The sequence below is a fragment of the Homo sapiens genome, chromosome 9 (assembly GCF_000001405.40).
Source record: "Homo sapiens chromosome 9, GRCh38.p14 Primary Assembly".
NCBI lineage: Eukaryota > Metazoa > Chordata > Mammalia > Primates > Hominidae > Homo > Homo sapiens.
Genome location: NC_000009.12, coordinates 136,689,024 through 136,702,815, shown reverse-complemented (window position 1 = coordinate 136,702,815; position 13,792 = coordinate 136,689,024). Strand labels below are relative to the sequence as shown.

At 58.2% G+C, this 13,792-nt stretch overlaps 4 annotated features.

Moving 5' to 3' along the window:
• Positions 1,397-1,446: an enhancer, noted in NCBI's record as "active region_29320". NCBI's record gives its function as "activates an Ori minimal core promoter by ATAC-STARR-seq in GM12878 lymphoblastoid cells {active_cell/tissue: GM12878}" and the evidence as "EXISTENCE:reporter gene assay evidence [ECO:0000049][PMID:35858748]".
• Positions 1,487-1,646: an enhancer, noted in NCBI's record as "active region_29319". NCBI's record gives its function as "activates an Ori minimal core promoter by ATAC-STARR-seq in GM12878 lymphoblastoid cells {active_cell/tissue: GM12878}" and the evidence as "EXISTENCE:reporter gene assay evidence [ECO:0000049][PMID:35858748]".
• Positions 4,709-5,217: an enhancer, noted in NCBI's record as "H3K27ac-H3K4me1 hESC enhancer chr9:139592051-139592559 (GRCh37/hg19 assembly coordinates)". NCBI's record gives its function as "activates a minimal SCP1, AML or CMV promoter by ChIP-STARR-seq in primed H9 embryonic stem cells {active_cell/tissue: H9 hESC(primed)}" and the evidence as "EXISTENCE:reporter gene assay evidence [ECO:0000049][PMID:30033119]".
• Positions 5,218-5,728: an enhancer, noted in NCBI's record as "H3K27ac-H3K4me1 hESC enhancer chr9:139591540-139592050 (GRCh37/hg19 assembly coordinates)". NCBI's record gives its function as "activates a minimal SCP1, AML or CMV promoter by ChIP-STARR-seq in naive and primed H9 embryonic stem cells {active_cell/tissue: H9 hESC(naive and primed)}" and the evidence as "EXISTENCE:reporter gene assay evidence [ECO:0000049][PMID:30033119]".

The following is a 13,792-nucleotide window of genomic DNA, read 5'->3' as shown; positions in this document are numbered from 1 at the left end:
CCATCTCTACTAAAAATACAAATATTAGCTGGGTGTGGTGGTGGGCGCCTATAATCCCAGCTACTCGGGAGGCCGAGGCAGGAGAATCGCGGGAACCGGGGAGACGGAGGTTGCAGAGAGCCGAGATCGCGCCATTTTACTCCAGCCTGGGTGACAGAGTGAGACTCCATCTCAAAAAAAAAAAAAAAAAAAAAAAGGCAAAATTGATCTCACTCGAGGTCTTTAACCTAATTACAGCTGTAAAGACCCCATTTCCACAGAAAGTTACATTTACACATTCCAGGGGGACTTATCTTTTGGGGGGCACCATTTAACCCACTGCAGTATCAAAATCAAGGTGCAGGGCAGCACGTGCAGTGTGGTACCATTTTCATTTTTGTCATTTAGCTCTGTGTGTGTGTGTGCACATGGGTGTGTGCCCGCGTGCGTGTGTGTGTGTGTGTGTCAATCTCCCTGTGTTCCTTCCATGTATAGGTGATTGAACCTCTCTTGCTATTTTTTTTTTTTTTATCCGAGACAGAGTTTCACTTTTGTCACCCAGGCTGGAGTGCAGTGGCACGATCTCGGCTCACTGCAACCTCCACCTCCCAGGTTCAAGCAATTCTCCTGCCTCAGCCTCCTGAGTAGCTGGGACTACAGGCGCGCACCACCATGCCCGGCTAATTTTTTGTATTTTTAGTAGAGATGGAGTTTCACCATGTTGGCCAGGCTGGTCTCGAACCCCTGACCTCAGGTGGTCCACCCGCCTTGGCCTCCGAAAGTGCTGGGATTACAGACGTGAGCCACCATATCCAGCCCTCTCTTGCTATTTGCAAAGGTGTAAGTGGGGGGACTGAATCGTGTCCCCACTAAATTCCTTCCTGGAAGCCCTAACCTGCAAGGAGAGGGTATTGACGATGTAGCCTATGGGAGGTGCCTGGGGGTGGATGAGGTCATGAGGGTGGGCCTTAGTAGAAAGGGCACAGGTGCCCTCCCCTTATTCCTTATCCCACCCTCGCGTCAGGACGCAGCAAGAAGGCACTAGAGAAGGGAGGCAGGGCTGAGAACGGGGAAAAGGGCTGGATCCTTAGAGAGGCCAGGGCTGGGAACCTCAGGCGGGTTCCCAGGATCTGCCAGGAAGAGGACCCTCACCAGAGCCGGACCACGGGGCGCCCCCACCCCCAGCCTCCAGACCCGTGGGGAGGAAACGTCTGCTTTGTGAGGATGTCCTGGCCGGCGGAGACAAACCTGAATCCTGCGGGCGCTGGGGCCCCCGGATCCTCCACAGCTGCTCAAAATGAGGGTGACGCAGAGAGACACCACAATAAACTCGAAAGTAGCAGACGGTGAAACCGTCTCCATGCTGTCAACGTGTGAGCAACGTTCAGCGTCCGAGTCACAGGGAACACAGGAGGCCATCCCACCGAGCGGGGCTGTGACTCGTGTTCATAACTGTCATCACCCTAGTACCTGCCGCTCCTCCTGGAGAAAATTCGGATGTCCCAGGTGGGCTGAAGCACACAGGAAGGTGGGGGTGGAGAGACAAGGGAGGCAGGGCTGAGCACAGAGCTGCGTCCTTCGAGAGGCTGGGGCCGGGAACCTCAGGCGGGTTCCTCTAAAACAGCCCTTGTCGCTGTTGTTCATGTCCTTATCACCGACGTCTTGAACGTTCATTGTAAAATATGCAGGTTCATCTGAGGCAGGACAGGCGGTCGAGGAAGTGACCGTGTCCTCGGAACGTGGCAACCGCGGTGACCCCACAGTCAACACAATAAGCCCTAGCGTTGGCACTGTAGTCCCACTCACTCAAGCGCAGCTGTCTCCAGTAGGGGCTTTCCCTGTAGACAGCATGAGCTTTTTTTTTTTTTTTTTGAGGTGGAGTCTCGCTCTGTCTCCCAGGATGGAGTGCAGTGGGGCAACCTTGGCCCAGTGCAACCTCCACCTCCCAGGTTCAAGCGATTCTCGTGCCTCAGCCTCCCGAGTAGCTGGGATTACAGGCACCTGCCAGCACACCTGGCTGATTTTTTTTTTTTTTTTGGAGACACAGTCTTGCTGTATCCTCCAGGCTGCAGTGCAGTGGTGCGATCTCGGCTCACTGCAACCTCCATCTCCCGGGTTCAAGCAATTCTCGTGCCACAGCCTCCCGAGTAGCTGGGATTACAGGCATGTACCACCACGCCCAGCTAACGTTTTATTTTTAGTAGAGATGGGATCTCACTATGCTGTCCAGGCTGGTCTCAAACTCCTGGCCTCAAGTGATCCTCCCCCATCTCGCCTCCCAAAGTGCCGGGATTCCAGGCGTGAGGCCCTGTGCCCGGCCAGAGGAATGAAGTTCTGGCCCAGGCTATGTGGGTGAGTCGTGAAGCTGTCATGCTGAGTGAAAGAATCCAGGCACAAAGGTCCACATGGTCCTGATTCCGCTTCTATGAAATTTCCAGAACGGGCAAATCCACAGACACACGAAGATGAGTGGTTGCCATGGGCTGGGGGAGGGAGCAGTGGGGAGCGAGTGCCTATGGGGAAGGCGTTTCCCTTTGGGGGGATGAAAATGTTCTGGAGGTGATGGTTGCAAAACATTGGAGGCGTTGCAAAAAACTGAAAGTGCTAAATTATACACTTTTTTTTTTTTTTGAGATGGAGTCTCACTCTGTTGCCCAGGCTGGAGTGCAATGGTACCATCTTGGCTCACTGCAACTTCCGCCTCCTGGGTTCACGTGATTCTCCCGCCTCGGCCTCCCAGGTAGCTGGGATTACAGGCATGCGCCACCACACCCAGCTAATTTTTGTATTTTTAGTAGAGACAGTGTTTTACCATGTTGGCCAGGCTGGTCTCGAACTCCTGATCTCAGGTGATCTGCCCACCTCAGCCTCTCAAGGTGTCAGGATTACAGGCATGAGCCACTGTGCCCGGCCAAATTGTACACTTTAGAATAATTTTATGTTACATGAATTTCACTTCAATAAAAAAATATAGGTAAGGGCTGGGTGCGGTGGCTCACGCCTGTAATCACAGCACTTTGGGAGGCTGAAGCGGGCGGATCACTTGAGGTCAGGAGTTCGCGAATAGCCTGGCAAACATGGTGAAACCCCGTCTCTACTAAAAATACAAAAATTAGCTGGGCATGGTGATGGGCATCTGTAATTCCAGCTACTCGGGAAGCTGAGGCAGGAGAATCGCTTGAACCCAGAGGCGGAGGCTGCAGTGAGCCGAGATCACACCATTGCACTCCAGCCTGGGCAACACAGGGAGACTCCATCTCAAAAAAAAAAATACAGGTAAGCAAAAATAAGTAAAGTCAGCTGTGACCTGGCCATCCGACAGATGGAATCACTGTGGAACCCAAATGTGTATCCTTCCAGATTGAGACCTTTTTTTTTTGAGACGGAGTTTCGCTCTTGTTTCCCAGGCTGGAGTGGAGTGCAGTGGCACCATCTCGGCTCACTGCAACTTCTGCCTTCCGGGTACAAGCGATTCTCCTGCCTCCGCCTCCTGAGTAGCTGGGATTACAGGCGCCTGCCACCACGCACAGCTAATTTTTTGTATTTTTAGTAGAGATGGGGTTTCTCCATGTTAGTCAGGCTGGTCTGGAACTCCCAACCTCAGGTGATCTGTTGGCCTCGGCCTCCCAAAGAGCTGGGATTACAGGCATGACAGATTGGGAACTTTTGACTATATGTACACACACACAGTCACACAGCCGTAAAAACATACACAGGCACAGACATATGCATTTGGCATAAAGGGGCTACTTTACCTTGTTGCTTTTTTCAAAAGAACTGAGGGTCTCAGCCATATTATTGGGAATCACATGTTCTTTTTTTTTTTTTTTTTTTTATTGATCATTCTTGGGTGTTTCTCGCAGAGGGGGATTTGGCAGGGTCATAGGACAATAGTGGAGGGAAGGTCAGCAGATAAACAAGTGAACAAAGGTCTCTGGTTTTCCTAGGCAGAGGACCCTGCGGCCTTCCGCACGCAGCGTTTGGGGAATCACATGTTCTAAGCAAAGTTTTAAACATGATGTTTTCCTGCTGATGATATGTAAAAGAAATTGTGTAACCACTAACATAAAAGCAAAGCTTCCCTTGGGCATCAAAAAGACTGTTTTTTCCCCAACATCGTGGACTTCGTGAGGGTGACCAGGCAGCACCGTGAGATCCCTGTGGGTCTTCAGGCCGATCTCCAGGATCCTGGGGAATGTGCACCTCCTTTAAAGGGATATGAATTCAAGTTCAGGACATTCTGGACCTCAGCTCCACCGTAAAAGTTGCTGCCAGGCATGGTGGCTCACACCTGTAATCCCAGCACTTTGGGAGGCCGAGGTGGGTGGATCACCTGAAGTCAGGAGTTCGAGATGAGCCTGGCCAACGTGGTGAAACCCCATCTCTATTAAAAATACAAAAATTAGCCGGGCGTGGTGGCGTGTGCTTGTAGTCCCAACTACTGGGGAGCTGAGGCAGGAGAATCACTTGAACCCAAGAGGAGGAGCTTGCAGTGAGCCGAGGTCACGCCACTGCACTCCAGCCTGGGTGACAGAGCAAGGCTCCGTCTCAAAAAAAAAAAAAAAAGTTGCATAATGTTCTGTTTCCTGGATCGACCGTAATTTATGCAACCAAGTGTCTCTTGGTGGGTACTTAGGATGTCTAAACTGTCTCTTTTTCTGAAACACACTGTTTGCACAACTGGCTATGTCTGTGTCCCGTTCCTTAATTATTAACTGGGGACAGATTCCTGCAGGTGACATTTCTGGGTCAGAGACTTTGAACGGGTGGCTTTCTATCATAACCTGCTCCAGAGAGCAGGGTACCCCTGGGGGTAGCTGAGGCAGAGACGCAGCCCACCCCAGTCTCGTGGGACTCCCTGGTGGCAGCGCTGACTGGACTCTGGGGCAGCGGCCCTTCGGGGGGCTGCTTCCCTCTCTCCCCAGGCACAACCTCGGGGGAACAGACTGCCCTTCCCTGGGACCCCAGCCTCACTAGCCCCCTACCCATCCTCCTCTGGTCCCGTCTTCTTTTGGTCCCAGAATTCATCTGGTCCTGCCTTGCCTTGGAGCCAATGCTATTCCCTATGCCAGGAATTCCAACCACCCGCCTGATGGCCCCGTGAGCAATCCACCCTGGGGGACCAGCTCCTATGACCTCCCTTTCGTGGAGGCCCTCCTGATCCAACAGGTCATGCAGACACCCGTTCCTGCTGGGCTCCCCACTAGCCCCCAAGCCCCATCTGGTAGGAACCACCTTGCCTGTCTCTGTCCCCGTGCTGACCACCGCTGATTCCATACCTCAGCAGAGGGGTGGAGGCATGTACATGCACGCACGCACACGCTCTCACACGCAGGCGCACGCCAGGGCTAGCTCCCTCACGCCCACTCATGCACACACACTCCTTCCGGAGAGCTCACTGACACGCACAGGCACACACACGCGCACACACACACGTGCACACACACACACCCTGGGGCTTGCTCAGCTCTGCTACGAAGGGCCCCTTGGGCTCAGGCCGCTGACCCTGCGGCTCCTGACGCTCCCAGTCCAGAGTCCCCTTGGCCTCCCCCTGAGCCTGGCTGGACTTCGGCCTGATCAGGGTCCCTCAGTGGAGCTGTGACCTTCTTTTCCTCCCTCTAGAAGCTCCTGAGAGACCAGCAAGGGTGTTGAGATAAGGATGGAGGAAGGAGGAGAAGGGAGAGGGAAGAGGGGAAAAGAGAGGGATGATAGGAGGGGGAAGGAGGAGGGGGAGGGGGAAGGAGGAGGGGGAGGGGGAGGAGGAGGGGGAGGGGGGAGGAGGAGGGGGAGGGGGGAGGAGGAGGGGGAAGGAGGAGGAGGAGGGGGAAGGAGGGGAGGGAGGAGGGGGAGGGGAGGGAGGAGGGGGAGGGGAAGGAGGCCAGGGAGGAGGGGGAGGGGAGGGAGGAGGGGGAGGGGAGGGAGGAGGGGAGGGGAAGGAGGGCAGGGAGGAGGGGGAGGGGAGGGAGGAGGGGGAGGGGAGGGAGGAGGGGGAGGGGAGGGAGGAGGGGGAGGAATCTTGCAATCTGAATAAAAACATCTTTGGGCCTCATTTGCGCCCCAGGCCCCCCAGGCTCCGCCAGGCTGGGGGGTGGAGGTGCAGGCAGTGGTGGAGAGCTGAGTCCTGGACTGGCCTAGGAGACCCCAGTCCTGGCTGCACGGCCTCAACCACGTGACTTGGAGGGGCAGCTCCTCCTCTTGACACCCCAGCTGTTCACCCGCACAGCCTGGAGCCCACCCTGCTGTCGGGGCTGCGGTGAGAATCTGCTGAGGGCCTGTGTTGCAGGGTCTGGTGTCGCCCAGGGAAGTTCTGCACCAGGTCGAATCTCCAGGCCTCCTATTGTGTTTTAATCACAGTCTACCTGTCTAGACCTAGTGTGTCCTACAGGGTGTGCGGTGGCCAGGCCCCAGGGGGCCCCAGGGACCCTCACCTCCCAGCATCTGTCACCTCCTGCCCTCCCGTGGGCTTCTGGGCTTGGTCTGTGCAACCCACAGCCCTTGGTGGGAGTGTTGGTGTGTGGCTTCCTGGGCGCCCGGGGCCCCTCGGCGGGGCTGGTTAGAACCGGTGCTGTGGCACAGACAGCAGCTGGTGCCAGGTGGCCCTGGCCGGAGACACTCAGGGCACATGGACGTGCAAAGACAGCAGGCGGCCGAACACCTGTCACCGTCCCATGTCACGTAAGGGGAGCAGTGCACATCGGCACTGGCCGTGTGAGCCCGTGGTGTGTAAATTCCTCCAGGGAACAGGTTCACCAGCCCTGCGGAGAGCCGTGCGTGCAGCTGGCACGGGGGGTCCCTGAGAAGATCCTGGCCCTGCTGTGCTCGACTCCGCGGGGGACGCTCAGCCCTCCTCGACAGAAGGTGAGCCTAGGAGATGGAGCAGGATGCACAGAGGGAAGGGGGGTTTCACCTAAAGCTCAGACGGATCAGGACCCGGGTGCCTGCCTGGGGGGACGTGTGGGGCTCCCCCACAAGGCCGAGCTCCCTGAAGGCAGGCTTTCCCCAGGGGGTGCAGCCTACCATGACCCTGGGCCTGTGGGGATGGGCTCCTGACCAGCTGTGGTCTCACCAGGCAGACACTGGGCTCCTGCCAGGCCTCTTGACCATCTGTCTTGCGGGCTAGGACACATTCTCCTGGCCCGCCTGGCTTCTGCCTGCTTATTAAGAAGGTGGCGTGAAAACAGAGCCACCTGACGTCGCCCCAGGGCCGCAGCCAGGTGCTCTCAGCAGGGTTCTCTGGGAGGCTGGGGAGGAGGAAGGCCCAGGGCCCGGGCACTGTGCCCAGCCAGGCCCCACAGTGCTGGGCAGTGCAGTGTGCTGGCAAGAGAATGTGTCTGCCTTTATTTATACAGGTGACTGAGCAACAACAGGGCGAGGTTAATGTCATTTAAAGAAAGTGTTTTTGTTTTTGTTTTTTTGAGACAGAGTCTTACTCTGTTGCCCAGGCTGGAGTGCAATGGCACGATCTCAGCTCACTGCAATCTCCACTTCCCAGGCTCAAGCGGTTCTCCTGCCCCAGCCTCCCAAGTAGCTGGGATTACAGGCACCTGCCAGCATGCCTGGCTAATTTTTGTATTTTTGGTAGAGACTGGGTTTCACATGTTGGCCAGGCTGGTCTCGAGCTGCTGACCTCATGATCTGCCCGCCTTGAACTCCCAAAGTGCTGGGATTACAGGTGTGAGCCACTGCGCCCGGCTGGAAATGAATGTTTAGAGTGGAAGATTGTATCTGTCTTTACACCAACACACTCATAAAATATAATTTTCAATGTATTTTTATCAAGGAAGGAGCCCCTGAAGGCAAAGGGCCCGGGGCCCCCAGGCATCGCGCCCTGTGCGGAGGGTCCTGGCCATTGAGCAACAGCAAACTGGGGGCGCCGGGGATGCGGATGAAGGACACCCAGAAACTGGCAGGAATGGGGAAGGAGAAAGGAAGAGAAGGGAGGGAGGGAGGGAGGGAGGGAAAACTAATTCCCCAAGCCCAGAAACTACGATGGGTGGACTTGCAGAGGGGAGGAACTTCAGTGCACCTCAAACGCTCGGAGGCGCCTGTGCAGCTCCAGTCATGCAGGCAGAGCCGCAGTCTCAGGGCCGCTCCATGCTGGTTCCCACTAGCGGCCCGGGGGCACCCACTGCTCGGAGGACGCACCCCGTGGGTGGGGCTGGGAGGCTCCTGCCTGGCGCTGCTGAGTATTGGAGGGGCCGCGGATTCCTGGGGTGGTACCCGCCCAGCCCAGCGCTCATCAGAGGACTCGGATTGTGCGGAAGGTTGGAGCATGGCAAGTGGCAAGTGCCCCTGGGGACGCTTTAAGGACGAAGGATGGTAGATCCAAAGGCGTGACCTCCTGTGGGCTCCCGCGTCTGGGGCCACATGTCCCCCGTCATCCCTCCGTCCCTCTGCCCTGTGGCCTGGCGCTGCCTCCACCCCACCCCACCCTACCCCATCCCGGGGCCTGTCCACCAGAGGGCAGTGCTGCCCAGCCCTTCGCAGAGGCCTTGGGGAGAATCCAGGGGCGGCCTTGCTGGACTTGGCCCTAGGCTGGGGAAGGGGTCGCCAGCTGAAATACAGGACACCCAGTTAGATCTGAGTTTCAGATAAACAACAAATAACATTTTTTAGTATAAGTATGTCCCCATATTACACGGGACACGTTTATGCCAAAATATTCTTCCTTGCCAATCTGAAGTGCAGATCTAACCTGAGCCCTAGGTTTTTGTTTTGTTTGATAAATCTGGCAACCCTGCCAGGGGCAGCACAGGTGACCTGCAGGCTCTCGGAAGGCGGCTCCCAGGAGCAGGCAGGGCTGCAGTCAGCTCGGCAGGGATGGCCACCGTCTGCCACACCTGCCCAAGGCTGTGACTCAGACGGGGCTGTGACTCAGGCAGGGTGCGGCAGGGCGGGGAGGGTGGGAGCTGGGTGGCTGAGCTGCTGGACCTTAACCCTCACCTCTTACCCAGAGGCAAGAGGACCTGACCTACTCACCTGCACTCAGGGCTCTTGTGCTGAGGCCTTGGGGTGGTAAGGGGCGTGGTATAGGTCAAAGGCCAGAGCCCTGTGTCCTCTGCTCCGGAAGGCACGGCTGCAGGTGTAGTTAGTGTTGCTGACACCCTCTAGGCTTGTGCAGTGCACAACCTGCACAGCTGGGCTAGGCGCCCGGGGCAGCTCCTCTGGTTCCCTCCTCACCCAGGTCCTGCCCTCCTCTCTCTCTCCCTGCCTGCCGTGCGCCCGCCCTCACTGTGGCCTCTGGACTCCTGCTGGAGTCTCCTTGATGACATTTAAGTCACAGCTCCACCTGGAATTCAACTTGGGCTCAGACACCCCAACCCTCTGGGATGGAAAAGAAGAAAATGGAGAGTGTGGGGCAGACGCCGGCCGAGCCGAGGGCAGGTCAGCACAGCCTCATGTCCGGCAGAGGGTGTCCAGGTTCTTGGCATCATGAACAAAGAATTGGACAAAATGCACAAAGCAACGGAAGAAGGAAGCAGCAAAGGCAGAGACGTGTGGAACATGAACGCGCACTCCACAGTGCAGTGGGAGCCGGGCTGAGCACAGGGGGTCGGGAGCCCTGTTACAGAACTGCCTGGGGTCTAAATATGCTCCAGAGGTTTCCACTGGTTACTTGGTATATGCCCTATGTAAACGGAGAGGTTATTTCCTGTTGTAGCTGATGTGTTTCCATTTGATTTTGTTCTACGGAGTCAGCGTGAAACAGCCTTAGGTTCCCAGGCTCCAGATCCTCTTCTCCTCCCTCACTGGGTCCCAGTCATTGCCCCATTGTCTGGATCTCGGAGGCTGCCCCTGGTGCTGGCTGAAGCCCAGCCACCATCCCCGAAGGCCGCTCCTTCCCAGGATGTCCAGAGGCTCTCGGTGCGTCGTTTCCCAGGTGGCCCCTGACGACTGAGGGCTCCAGGCTCTGCACAGTCCACGCTGCCACTGGGATCGGAAGGGCGGATTCCTCCCTCCTTCCGTCACTCATTCACTCACCAATGGGGCACCTGCCATGGGCCAGGAGCAGAGTAGAGGGTGTTGGAAGCGAACCCACGGGTGGGCGGTCGGGTGGGGAGGGAAGCCCGCCTGCCTCTGCCCACAGGAGCCCAGGCCTGACACGGCCCCAGGACACAGGCCCCTGCCCCACACGGCAGCACGGATGCCCACGGCCCAGGCCTGGCATGGTTCAGAGGAGGACGTGGACACCAGGTCCACTGGGGGCTGCCTGGACACCCTGGAAACTGTGTGCACCACCCGGGTGGCCGTGGGAGTGCGGCGCTCAGCCTGAGAAGGACCCAGCGTCGGAAGCCCCTGTAGGCGCCAGAGCCGGCCCTCGGACGCTTCACCAAAGGAAGCTGCAGCCTCGTCTGGGCTCCGACGGCCCTTCCTGGAGGTCTTGCCGTTTCTCTCATTTGGTGGAAGAGGTCACGGCCTGTGGCACCCAGGCCCCGGCTTTCGATGCTGAGCCCCGAACCCCCGGCCTCAGCCTCATCTTGCCAAGAGGATGATCCTGTGGAAAGGTGAAGTCGCTCCCGAAATTGGGGGGCGGCTCTGAGCCCCCAGTTGGGTTTGCTAAGGCTTGGACCGGTGCTGCCAAAGGCCCTTCCGACCACATCATGGGCAGGGCGCAGGGCCAGAGCCAGGGCCACCCTGCAAGAGCCAAGCCCCTGGACACCACTGCCGGTGGGGAAACTGGGGAAATAGGTGCTCTGGAGGTATTTGGGGGAAGGGTGAAGGAGGAGCCGACTGCAGCCCAGGCCCCCCTGCCCCCGCTTGCTGGGGTTGGGACCTCGGCTCCTCTGCCCCAGTGGGATCAGCTGCTCCAAGCCCCGCCACAGTCGGGAGGCCCTTGGAGGGGCTCAGGGAGCAGAGCCCGCTGTGGTGGGTGGGGCAGCCTTGGTAGTGGAGGGGGCTCCTGAACCGCCCATTCTCTGGGGCACTTGCCTCCCTCCTGTGCCCTAGGCGAGATACCAGAGGAGGGGGCTTGGAGGCCCTAGGCCTGATTGGACGCCGCCCTCAGCAGTGAGTAAAAAGCCATGGGGTGAGGCCGAGGCTGGGGGCTGGGCCTTCATCCCTGCCTTGCTTGGGCTGGCCTGGGCCGTCCCAAGCCTCGGTCCCACTGAATCATCACACGCACCCTGCACGAAAGGGAAACTGAGGCCTAGAGAGGCAGGGCTGATCCAAGGTCACCCAGGGTCTCCTCGCTGGGTCGGGCTGCCTGACCCTGACCCTGGGCTCTTCAGCCCCACACCACACCCCTCTCGGACTGGGACCCAGGCACCCTCTGGGCCTCCGTGGTCCTGTGTGAGCTCCAGCCATGGCTGCGTCAGAGGCCGGAGCTCTGCGTCTGCTCTGGTACTTCCTGCCACGGAGCCCGACTTGCCCGGGCTCCCTGCTCCTCAGAGGCTCCACTTAGACACAGGTGTGCTGGGTGCGAGAGGCCGTGCATAGGGCACAGCTGCTCTGGGCAGGGAAGGGCTACTGCAGTGTGGGCCCCTCCTCCCTGGGCCGTCTCCTCCCTTCTGTCTCCTGATGCCTCCCCGCCCCTGTCCTCTCCATCCACCTCTGTCCTCTGTCTCCCAGCCCAGACATCATCCTGGCAGGAGAAGGACCCTGTGGGGTGTGCTCTGCCCCTCACTCCCACCCCAGCCTGTGACCTAAGAGCTCCGGATGGGACATCCAAAGGCGTGACCTCCTGTTGGCTCCTACATCTGGGGCCATATGTCCCAAGGTCCCACGTGCCCTGGCCAGCGCCCCTTGGAGCCCTCACCCGCCCTCCCTGACTCCCTAGGGAGAGTGTGGACCGCCCCGCCTGCTGCAGAGGTCTGGGCAGCCAGCCCAGAGGGCTCACCTCATCTATTTTTAAGCACAAACCCATGAAAGATTCACAGGCTGCTTTATTTACAGGTGGTGGGAATGGCATTGCGCCCAGCACACCCACCAGGAGGCCGGACAACCCGTCGGCCAGGGTACGCTCTGCCCGAGAGCCCCAGGCATGCCCGGCTTGGACCTCAGCCACTCTGTGCAGGCTGAGGTCCCGGCATAGCCTGGCCTCCCCGTCCAGCCCCCAAGCCAGGCTTTGATGTCCTCCCTGGAAGGAAGGAGCCCCTGAAGGGTCCAGCCCGAGGCCCAGCTGTGCCGTGGCTGCCCCCTGGCCACACGTCCCCGTGTCTCCAGCTGCCGAGAAGCTCTCCCCTTCCCTGGCTCTTGTCCTGGTGTCTCTCCGGGGCAGGTCTTTGGGGAGAGGCCTAGTCAGGCCCATGTGCCCCGCCAGCCCGGCAGCTGCCTCCTGTCACACACTGGGCACGGCGAGCGTCACGTCTCCACTTTACAGATGAGGAAACCGAGGCTCTGGTGCCTTGGCTAACTCAGGGTTTAGGTTTAAAGCCAGATGGACTGGTCTTCAAAGCCCGGCTGCCCTGCCCCTGCCAGTCCTTCCTGGGCCACACAGCACTGGCTTCATCTCTGCTTCCTGGAATTGGAGAGGCTTGGCTGGTCCTTCCGTCCTCACTCGCTCCCTGAGCTGTGTGGGCTCCCCGGGCCTCAGCAGCCGGTGCCAACTCAGCTCTCACTGTCACCTGGTGTCATGCGCTGTCTGGCCGGGTCCCAGCAAATGCCCAGGAGGACTCTCAGCTGTCCTTGGGTGGGTACAGCCGCACGGCCACCACCGGCCCAGCACTCCCTGCCCCTGGTAGCTGAGGGCATCTCAAGGGTCAGACAGGGCGCTGGCCATCCCTACACAACAGAACCAGGCTCCCAGTCCCTCACCACACTCTTGGGATAAACCCAGCAGAGCCCATGCCAGCCCTCCCTGGGTGAGAAGCACTCATTTTAGAGAAAATCTCTTTTCTAGGCTGGGCGCGGTGGCTCACATCTGTAATCCCAGCACTTCGGGAGGCCGAAGCGGGCAGATCACTTGAGGTCAAGAGTTTGAGACCAGCCTGGCCAACATGACAAAACCCTGTCTCTATTAAAAATACAAAAATTAGCCGGGTGTGGTGTCGGGCGCCTGTAATCCCAGCTACTCAAGAGGTTGAGGTAGGAGAATCTCTTGAACCCAGGGGGCAGAGCTTGCAGTGAGCCGAGATCACGCCACTGCACTCCAGCCTGGGTGACAGAGCGAGACTCCGTCTCAAAAAAAAAAAAAGAAGAAGAAAATCTCTTTTCTTGGCATCTCTGCCAGCCCATAAGATTCTCTGGAGCTTTACTTCTAGAAACAAATAATGTGTTAGCTTCCCAAATGTGGCATTATATTAAAATACACAGTACTTCCTCATCACTCCCCAAGTCCCTGGCCCGCCTCCTCTTGGATCTTGTCGGAGGAAAAGTGGACGTTTCTCTCAACACTTCTGCAAGGTGCAGAGAAGAGGGAGGAGGTGAAATTAGGTCTCACCCTCTTCAGGAGAGCAGTGGGCAAAACCCCACCTTGTCTGGGGAGGCAACAGGGTCACCGTGTGCTGCCCTGGCACTGTTCCTGCCAGCCCTGGCAGGAGTCTTCCGGCTCAGAGTCAGCCTCTTTTCCTCTGTCACGTCCCGGCTGTCTGGTGTTCACCCTTGAGAGCCTCAGTTTTCCCTCTGTAAAATGGGGATGCCTTTGCTACTATGGAAAGTGTGTGCTGAGCACCTGCTATGTGCCAGACATTGGCCTGAGTGCTGGTCGCACATGGTGCACAAAACAGATGAGGCCCCACGGGCTCCATTCCGGGGGGAGGAGAGGAGGGAGAGGTGTCCAACACACACACAGTCACCTAGGGGTGCAGGAAGATGGTGGCCACCCTGGAAAGGTCGGTGGGCTGGGAGGTAAAGGACAAGAAGGGGGCTGGCATGT